Source organism: Homo sapiens, chromosome 7 (genome assembly GCF_000001405.40).
Source record: "Homo sapiens chromosome 7, GRCh38.p14 Primary Assembly".
Lineage (NCBI taxonomy): Eukaryota > Metazoa > Chordata > Mammalia > Primates > Hominidae > Homo > Homo sapiens.
The window spans coordinates 110592362-110603244 of NC_000007.14; positions in this window are offsets into that span (position 1 = coordinate 110592362).

The window sequence follows — 10883 nt, forward strand, 5'->3', positions numbered from 1 at the left end:
CTGGGACCTAATCTGAGCTTGAAAAAAAAAATTTCAGAAAAATCAACTTATTCCACCACATCATTTGTGCCAACTACAGTGTTAGGATTATCCCTGGAAATTTCAAGGAGAAAAGTATGCTCCTCCCTCAGGTACCATTTGCAGAAGTCACTCATCTATCGATTCCTGATGTTGCTGGTTTTAGCAAGATAAGACTCCTAATCCATACACTGAATGTTACTCTGCCAGAGATGAAATAGCTTTAATGCCAACAAAGATTACTGTGATGTTAGACTGGAGAAGATTGTGTTGTTGGAACTACAGCATCCCCAGGAATACTTGCCATCTTGTGTAAATGCTATATTGAAGCCAAACATTGACTCTGCCTCTCATTCTATTCAGAAATCTAAGGGCATAGCAATCATATTTGTGTGCTTAACTCTGGTAAAAGGACTTTGTTCCCATTATAAACTACGGTGATTTTCTTTCAACTAGCCTTTCCCTAATTTAAATAATGTATTTAGTTGTTCCTAAGATGCTATCAATTGTAAAATGCATGATCCATCAGCTTTTTTCAATATAGCTTTGCAGAAGAAGAAATGCTACATTAAATATACAAATCCATATAAGAAGTACACTAGTGTCAGAAAACATTTTAATGTATAAAATATGCATTGTAGAATTGTGTATTGTGTATATATCTGTATCTATCTACATATATATATAAATAATGTCACAGATATATATAAACCTACATTTATATATACATAAATATATGAAAACATATAATATAAACAAGCAGCAGGAAAAGGAACATCATGGAAATCTTATATTTATGCCAATGTAAACACACATTCCAGTTAAATTTACTCATTTGACATCACATAGAGACCATGGCATCTGCAGAATTGAAGTGTAACCTGTACTCTGCCTTAAGTAGAAAGAAGATGGAAAGCCATCTGCTCACAATACTCGTTACTGTTACTAATTATTAAGAGAATATTATTTTGTTTGTTTTTACAAAAAAAGTGACAACACTGGGATCAGAATTTTTTTTCCTTGTATATCATGTACTGAGACCTCAGAACAAGCAATGCTAGGGCAGATTCAGAATGTTTTAGGTAAGTCAAGACACAGGAAAGAGCTCCCCTCAGTGCTTAGCAGGAAATATCTAGTGTAGACAGCAAGGCACCAACAGAATGGGCACACCCAGCCAGGCAAGATGTGGAAGCATATACCCTTTAGCATACAGCAGAAGGAGCTGGGACCTAATCACACCAGGGAAATATTTGCTTGCAGTGACCTTCCTCACATTGCATTCCATGTGTCCTCTTTGCCAGTTGCTCTGAGGTGTATCTTCGGGCCTCCTCAAAGTTATAGGAGGTTGTATGAGTCTGTTTTCAAACCCTTATAGACAACTGCCTGAGACTAGGTAATTTATAAGGAAAAGAGGTTTAATTTTTTCACAGTTCAGCATTGCTAGGGAGGCCTCAGGAAACTTACAATAATGGTAGATGGTGAAGAGGAAGCAAAGTACCTACTTTACAAGGCGGCAGGAATGAGAAGTGCTGAGTGAAGGGGAAAGAACCCCTTATAAAACCATCAGATCTCATGAGAACTCACTATCATGAGAATAGCATGGGAGAAACCACTCCCTATGATTCAATTACCTTTACCTGGTCGCTCTTGACATGTGGGAATTATGGGGATTATGAGGATTACAATCCAAGATGAGATTTGGGTGGGAACACAAAGCCTAACCATATCAGATGTCAAATATAATTTATGCAATATACAAAGATAAGTAAGACACCCATTACTGCCAAAAGAAGTTTACATTATGTCTGTGTGGATAAAGCAGATATAAAATCAAGATGATCCATGAAAAGGAAAACTAGAGTCTAAGGCAGTTCACGTTAGGAAAGTATTACAATCTGTGGGAAAGATCAGGCATCTCTTCTTTCTTGGGATGAAACTTGAAGATCATGAAATAATGTGGAAGGAGAGCATTAGAGGCAAAAAGAGCAGCCTAAATGTTATACCATAGGAGAGAACCACACAGAGCATGTCCTGGGAATGGTGCTTAGAAACATGCACACAAACAGTGGGACAGTAGAGCTATTCATAAGTGACTTTCAACACACCTTGGTGGTCAAGAACACAGACCATATTTTAGTGGTTAGCAAGTCAAGACTATCCTTACTACCAACTTCTTGATGGCAATTAACTGTCCCAAAGAGTCAAAGTATTGAACCAAGTGAAGATCAGAAAATATTTACTAGCCCAGGCATGGTGGCTCATGCCTGTAATCCCAACACTTTGGAAGGCCAAGGCAGGTGGATCACTTGAGCTGAGGAGTTCAAGACCAGCCTGGGCAACATGGCGAAACCCCATCTCTACAAAATAAATACAAAAAAATTAACTGGAGGTGGTGGTGTGTGCCTGTGATCCCAGCTACTTGGGAGGCTGAGGCAGGAGAATCACCTGAGCCTGGGAGGCGGAGGTTGCAGCGAGCCAAGATTGTGCCATTGCACTTCAGCTTGGGTAACAGGAGTGAAGCCCTATCTCAAAAAAAAAAAAAAAAAAAAAAGAAAAGAAAAAAAAAAGAAAAAAGAAAAGAATTTATATTTATTTGCTAGAGAGCTACCTTTCTTTTGAAGAATTCTGGCCAGAATCAGCAGTCTTACTTGATTTTATTATTGAATCTTTCCTCTCTAAAAAAACAGCATCTGATGCCGTAGGTAAAAATTGCTATACTTGGCATTCATACATTCAGGACAACCTGTAGAAGAAAAACTGTAGGGAATTAGGAAAAGCCACTTCCTTTATAGTAAAAAAGGGGAAAAGTATCCTTTTAAAATGTTTTAAAGGAAAAGTACCCTTTTAAATTTTTTAAAGAAAAATTATCAAATTCAATAATGGAATTTATCTGACAGCTAAACAGGTAAAATATGAAGAAAACTGGAGACTTAAGTCAGAGGTTCTTTAATTGAGCCTAATTGAGTCTGTTTTCTTTTTCTTTTTCTTTTTCTTTACTAATCCCATCTCTCCTTTTAAATGAATTTAGTCAATGGAGCATAAACACAAAGAGGGATATTATTCATTCATTTAATGAATTGCTAAGTATAATCACCTTCTGCAGAAAGTCCTTTAAGTTAGATTTATGTTCCAATGGGGTCCTTATAGTTGTCAATGCCCCCTGTACAGAAAGGTAGGTTGATCTTTGAAGTGAAGAGGGCAGTAATGTGGGAGTCAGGGAAATCTGGGTCTTAAATTCCAACAATGACACTCATTGTGTTTTAGCAGGTAACTTTATTTCTCTAAGTCTTAGGCCCCTCATCTGTAAAATAGAAATAATAAAATCTCTTTCATAGCATCATTTGAGGAGTAAATGAGGATGTTGATAAGTGTACCCTAGAGCACCTAAAACATTGCTTGGCTTGTGAAAGGAGATATTTGCTGAAAAACAACTCATAATACAGTGTCAGGAGACAATTTTCCATGGGTGTTGTGCATTTCTGCATGTCTTCCACACAGAGGCACTAATTGCCCTTCTGTCATGACCACCTTGCAAGGATATTTATATACTGAACAGCTTGGAAGATAGAGATGGTGTCTTCCTGCAGAGCAAAGGGCAGGTTTGCCTATCATCCAGTATCATAAACAGAATGTCTCCCTCTGGGACAAAGTTTGGGCAGATTATCTTGAGACCATCATGAAAGATTTGGGCTCCCTAAGCTCAACATACCTCTCCTGACGCACAGCCTATCAGTGTGCAGGCATCCCCAGGTCATTCTTATATCATCCTGTGGGAACTGGGCCGTAGGAAGTGGCAAAAGAAAATGATGATACTCTGGCAACTGCTATTCCTGTGAGCATTACTATATGATCTATCATATAACCTTGCCTTTTATATCTGATCTAGGAGTCTTATGCATTTTGCCAGCTTGTGTGAAACTGTCTTGCAGGAAGGATGAAATCTAAGACTATAAAGAGTTTTTAACACGAAAGACTCAAAACCTAATCTAGCTCCAAAATATTTCCCCATAGATTCACCCTGTGGACAGTAATTACTACCACCATATCCAATATTTTGATTTAGAAAAGTTCCCATAAATTTGTACATGTATTAGCTCTAAGAGCTACCGCAGTGAGTCATTAATGCTTAATTGCTAATTGGCTCATTGTTTAGTTTGTGAAACACTTAGCAAATTCCAGATGTAATAGAAAATAGGAGGGTAAATTTGAATAGACGTTCTAGAACTGATAGGCCAGAGAGATTTCATCCCGGAAAATAGCACTTCTTTCTGGTGCACTTCTGGGGAGCAGAAGAAGGGAAATGGAGGAAGAGATACATTTCTACTTTTCCTCAAGCTTCATTGTATCCCGCAGAAATAAAATATAAAATCGATTTTAAATTTTAAATATAGAATCATATAAAAACGGTAGTTTTTTTCAGTACTTTCATTCATAAGTTTTACTTGGCATTTGTTAAATGTGTCGTAGTAATTTGTATTATCCCTTACTCCCCTACAACAGTGTGCAAACTCCAGCAGCAGGAAATATAACATACCGATTTTGCCTACCCAACCCTTGGTGACCCATACTCCCAGCTTCTTCCGAGTCTATCCCAGAACTCTGCAAATACATTAAATGTACTCAGTAAATACTGTGTGAGTTGTATTCTCCTCTGTTCAAAGAAAATACACAAAATTATGAATTTATACTGTGGCTGTCAAACAACTCGAGGAAATCAGAATCTCATAAGCAGCATGAAAAATGAGCCAAATAATTTCAGGCTATGTGGAACATTTAAAAATCTTATGTGTAGTATTCACAATGTTAAATGAATTTATTCAACAAGCATTTTATTAATGGCTATTTAGCACTTTTAAACTACCTTCCATTAATCACTTTCTAAGCCAGTCCCTGTGAAGAAAAACATGACTGTTTCATTTCAATTATTGCTTTATTTAGGTGGCAATTATTTAGTTTCTTTTTTTGGCTTAACCATGTGATAGGTTGAGAAGAAGGTTGAGAAGAAGAATTTTTTTAAAAAACCATGCTAATTCTCTTATTACAGAGGAATTTAAGAGTCAACACACAACATCCAAACTTACACATAGTGAGATTAGATGGTGGCTGTTCAAATAAATAAGATAATGTGTACAATGGTTTTAGCATGTGGAAGGGACTCTATAACTAGTAGCAATTACTATTTTGCCAAAAAAAGCCAATCCCCAAGGCCCCTTTCTATTGAGAGTTTCAACTCTTATTGAAAAAAATCCATTTTTGAAAATTAAATACTAAAAACCTTTTCATTAACCTATCAAATATTTAAAGTAGACTGTACTTAATAGTTGAAGGCATTTGAGCTCATGAAAACAAAGATTTCATGAATTAAACATAGTGAAGATTTGGGGGGAATATTGATAACTATGCCCAGGCAATCATACAGAATTAAATGTGTTTGTCTGGAAAATATGGATGAATTGAAATATGGCCTACCCCCAAGTTATACTACCTGAACATTTGAGATAAGAAGATGAAGATGCTGACTTTCTGTCCCTCAGGTAGGCCCCCTACGCTGCTTTGGGTGTTTTGGTCCTAGGAGTGTAACATTTTATTTCTGCCAAAACTAATCTTTCAAGGCCCCCCAATTCTTTTCAAGCATTATATGTACATCTCCAATTTCATCCTGTGCAATTATATCCACCCAGTAAGCAAAGCTACACACTACAAAGCTTGTTTGCTTTTAATCACATTAAATACTCAAACCAGCCATCCTAACAAGAAAAGAAAAAAATATTTTCCTGCATAAGCATTTTTTTAAAACCTTCAGATATCAAAATTAAAGGTAAATGCCTGTACAGTCCATTAGTACTGCTTAATTGCTTTTCCATAATGAGCAACAGAAGATTATTGCTCACCTGAGACTAATATGAATTGCAGCTGATAGATTCATAAGTTGGACTAAAGCAGGTGATGCCCACCCCAACATCATAAAATCCAAAAGACGAGAGAGAGAGAGAAAGCAAACACTTATAATATCTTTTCAATTCACAGAGTTTGTCTCATTTAATCAAAGAAAAATCAAGATCATGGGTTATAAAGTTATCCTATCTCTCCCTGTTCTTTGCCACATATAACTGCCTCTTCAGTCAATATGCCATCCGTCCATCCATCCATTCATCCATCTAGAGAAAAGTCTGTTCACCCAAGCTAAGCTGTCCATCTGTCCTCTGCATTCTGTCCCCTTTCTCTTGTACACATTAGTCCCATCAATTATATTTCATATTTTCTGTTCTTTCAAATTCTTCATCCCCACCAGCTGCCTCCTTTAAACCTACAAGTATGTTAAAAATTCCTTCACATATGCTTCTTTCTCCCTTCAAGTTAAGATAGGTCCTACAGCAACTATACCACCCTCTCTTCCTTACCCACTTTCAAGTCCAAACTTCCTAAATGGCATACAAATCTATACTTCTCCAACTTCATCTCCCTCTAGAATTTATTACAATTTGATTTATCCCACCCCAGATTCTGAAATTTCTTTGAAATGATTTTCTATTTATCAAACTCAATGTACAATGGTCTATTTTTAGTCCAGAAACTTAATGGACTTATTAAAGCATTTACCATGTTAACTCCTTTCTCCTTAAAAATGTGTCTATTTTGGCTTCTATCCTTGCTTTTGTCCCTTCTGACTGCTTCTTCAAGTTCCTGTCATCATGCCTTTAATATTGGCCTTTCTCACCAAACCATTCTTCACCCAATTTCTCTTTTTATTCAAATCATCCACTATGGGTATTTAATGTTACCACCCATAACCTACTCCTTCAGCCTCCTCTCTCCATCCACGATATCACCATCTTTCCAATCAGTTAAATTTGAGATCTCAGTGGCACCTTCAGCTTCTCCATTGACATTAACCTTTCACATCCAATATGACACAAAACATAGTGGCCTTTGAAGTCAGAAAGACCTGAGTCTGAATTACAGTCTGCCTTCAAGGAATTTAGAATTCTGTGTCTTGTGTGTGAAGGCATGCAAACATACATGGGATTAACATATACACTAATGGGTGAGTACTCACAAATTAAAGTGGGAGCCCAGGAAAAATTATGCTTCAATCTGCCTGAGAAAGGAGGCATCAGGGATATTTACCATGGAAATGTCTAATTTGGATTGAAATTTAAAGACTGCTAAGGAGTCGGATAAGTGGAAGAAAGAATGAGACAGCTGAGAGAAAAGCAGAAGTAAAGTCTAACGTCTGGGAGGGGAATGCTGCCATTAGGGGAGGGAGGCAGAAGAGACTGGAACCTCTGGCAAAGATCATACTGTGATGAGACTAATACACCAAGGGTGATGGCATTGCTGTGGTTGCTGGGAAGCCACAGAGATTTCTGAGGCAGAAGACAGTCCCATTTGCATGCCCAAAAAACCTTCATGGCTGCATATAGTTTGGATTGGAGACAATAAAGACCTGAGTAAGAGAGTTAAATCATAATATTGATTTATTCAAATAATATTAATTTATCCAGTGATATTAATGGATATCACTGGAGATAAACTCAAGGTAGGGATGAAAAAACTTAAAGTAGAAACAGGGTCTTCTTACGGCTTTGATTTTATGTAAATACTGAAGATTCTATTATTTCAACACTTTGAATAAGCATATAATTCACTGCCTCTGTCTTTCTGTTGCTTATAAGAAAGCTGCAAAAGTAAAATGTGGAAGGAAAGCAGGAGAGAGGGAGGAAATAAAGAGGGAAGAGAAATAATAGGAGGAAAGAAAATAATACGAGCAAAAAGTGCAGTGGACAAATATAGGATGCAAAACAAGGGAAAAATGGAGACGGGGGAGGGTATTCTTTTTAAATAACTGAAAAAATAATTTAAAAAACGTTTCCCCTCAAGATTTTGTGAAAAATACAACTTAATGCCATTCATGAGTTCAACACAGTTGCTTTCATCAGCCTATGTGTTATTGACATAGATACCATAAATATGCTTTCATTTTACAAGATAAGACAATAAATTCATGGGTCTGGCAGTCATGATGATTTATCCCTCAGGTTAGTTTTGCTCTTCTTTGATCATGCCACAATTGCTTAATTAACCTGCAGTTAAAAGGTTTTTAGGAAAAAATGTTCATTGTGGAAAAAATTTTCTACGTTCCAAACAATATTCGAATTACCAGTGAGAGTAGAAGCTTTCTATGAAAATCATAAGTGCCATATTAAGTATTAATGTGTTAGATGGACCACATGTGAAGGCACTGCGTTAATAGCATCACTTAACCTGAATACTTTATTCCACTACTTTAACCTTGATACTAACAGACTTAATATATTCCGCTTTTGTTTTCAATTATCTGTTATGTCCTGCAATGGGTTTATTGGAGACACTGTGAAAACCATTACGACCCCTCAAAGACATAAGGCAATTTTCTTCTCACCAGGATATTTTGAACAAATTACTCTCAGTTTTAACATGAATAAGTCTATGAATTTTAGTTCCTCAGATCTGAAATAATGGAATTCAGTTATAATTCCAACTGCAATTATCATATCATGTCAATAAATTGAGATAAAATCCTACAGAGGTGAAAGCTTTCTGTCTTTGTATGGTTTTACTTTCTCCCTTTTGCTTTTTTTCTTTTTTGGCCCCAAGCCTAGGGAGCACTTTGAAGTGTAATTATTTTGTAGGGTACTTGAAATAGTTCTACCCTTTGAAAAGAGTGTGGTAGCATATCGTCCGTGTTAGCATTACAAGGCATTGCTACAGCTTGCAATAATTAAAGGCTGTTACCGTTAAGAATTTTATGATTAGTCCTATTATGGCTCATTGAGTTTAAGTTTTGAAATTTTGTACTGAGTCCAAGATTAAAATGTTTCTTAGTCATAAAATGCATTTTAAAGATTAATTTGGACATCTCTCAAAGTCCTTTTGCTTGTTTTCCCCATCCTGGGATAACATAATGTCTTTTCACGGCGTGGTTAATGGTAATGCCAAAGGTTTAAGCCCAGTATAAGCAAATTAGCTTCTCTATTCTCATGTGAACTCCTCCTCCCACCCCAAGATGTTCCCAGGAAAGGAACCTCTTCATAAAATAAGCTTTAGACTCAACTCAGCTGCCAAAGCAGGGCCATAAGTATAGTGTATCCAATACTGGAAGGCCAGTTCTAGGAGACACTGCTTCTAGAAGTCTTTTGGCTGAGAGGTATCCAAACTAAGTTGTGCTGTTACTCTGAGAAAATATAAAAAGATGTATTCAAAGAGAGTGGGCAGGATAAAAGAGACTAGGCTCTTTTTATTTCATATGATTCTTTTTCTTTCTTTACCGCTTGTTTTAAATTAGATTTTTGTATTTTTATATGTACTAAAAATGAGTTATGGGAATTGTAGAACTATAGATAAGAAAACTGGGGCTTAGAAAAATAAAGTAGCTTAACCATGGCCACAAGGCCAGTGATAGGCCAAATGAGTATGACACAGGCCTATGACTTTGCATCCCCTGATGTTAAAACCACTCAATCCTGCAGAAAATCCCGTCTTTCCCTCCTGGATGACTCCCTGCTTCCAGACTCATGCCCTCCAGGATCTTTTCTACACAGTGCAGAGCTCTTTCTAAAGCCCACCTCTGAAAATCTTACTCCCCTGATTTTAACCTGACACTCCCAAATTAAGAATGTAGATTAACCACTTGTGTTTATTTTCTCTCCTTGCAGATCTAATTAAAATTCAGTAGTGAAACAAAACACCATAAACCAACAAAGACAGTAAGAGAGGGACCTTCGGCAGATGAGAAATATCCACAAGTTCCTGAAAGATGCAAACGAGGCACAGAGGTGGTGAATGATAATAGCCTAAAGCATTAGCCAAATTACCTTATAAGACCCCAGCTGACAGACCACTTAAGGATTGGGACATCCTAAAAATGTGAGAACGCTAAAGTAGAAAAAAGCAAAAAGAGTAGAACGCTCTTTAAAGAAGGAAATATTCTTACAGTCAGGATTTGGTCGTATAATTAATATGTACATATTCTTCATGTTGTAAACATAATTGACATCACCAAAGATGATTTTATTATTGGAAAGGCAGAGCATGATGGAAGAGATCTACATTCTTCCTATTGTTAAAGAAAAATAAAAGTGAAGGCCACAGTTTAGACATAATTCGAGGCCAACAGCCCAATAACCACACCACCAAAATTGAAGTCATCCTAATTTCCCCCAAATGCTAGCTCTAATCGTAAATGAAACACAAAACATAAGCTTTATGTCCTTGTCAGCATGATTCAGTAAAATTAAACCAATCAACTATAGAAAAATCAGCTTAAAAGGCTCTGCTTGCCTTAAAAAGAATATTAATGCATAACAGCCAATCACAAAAAGGTCAAGATACTTCCTCCTTTATGCTCCATAAACTGAGCTGGAACTGCTGGAAGGTCATCTTCCTACCACTTGGATTGAAGTCTCCCTCATCATGATCTGTACTTTCTCTTTTTGTATAACAATAAACTTTAAAAATTCTTCTAATTTGGTGTGATTTTATTTTTGACACTATCATAGCAGGAAGGTAATTGATTTCAAAATTTACAAGTCAAGAAATGGCGATAAAAGCATATTATTTAGAGACGTGGAGGTAACTATCAAAGAACAACTGGGACTGAAGGATAGCGAGAGAGTTAACTTTTATTATAACCCTTTAACATTATTGGATTTTTTTTTTTTTTAAAGACAGAGTTTCACTCCTGTTGCCCAGGCTGGAGTGCAATGTCGCCATCTCGGCTCACGGCAACCTCCGCCTCCCGGGTTCAAGCGATTCTCCTGCCTCAGCCTCTTGAGTAGCTGGGATTACTGGCATGTGCCACCACGCCCAGCTAATTTTGTGTTTGT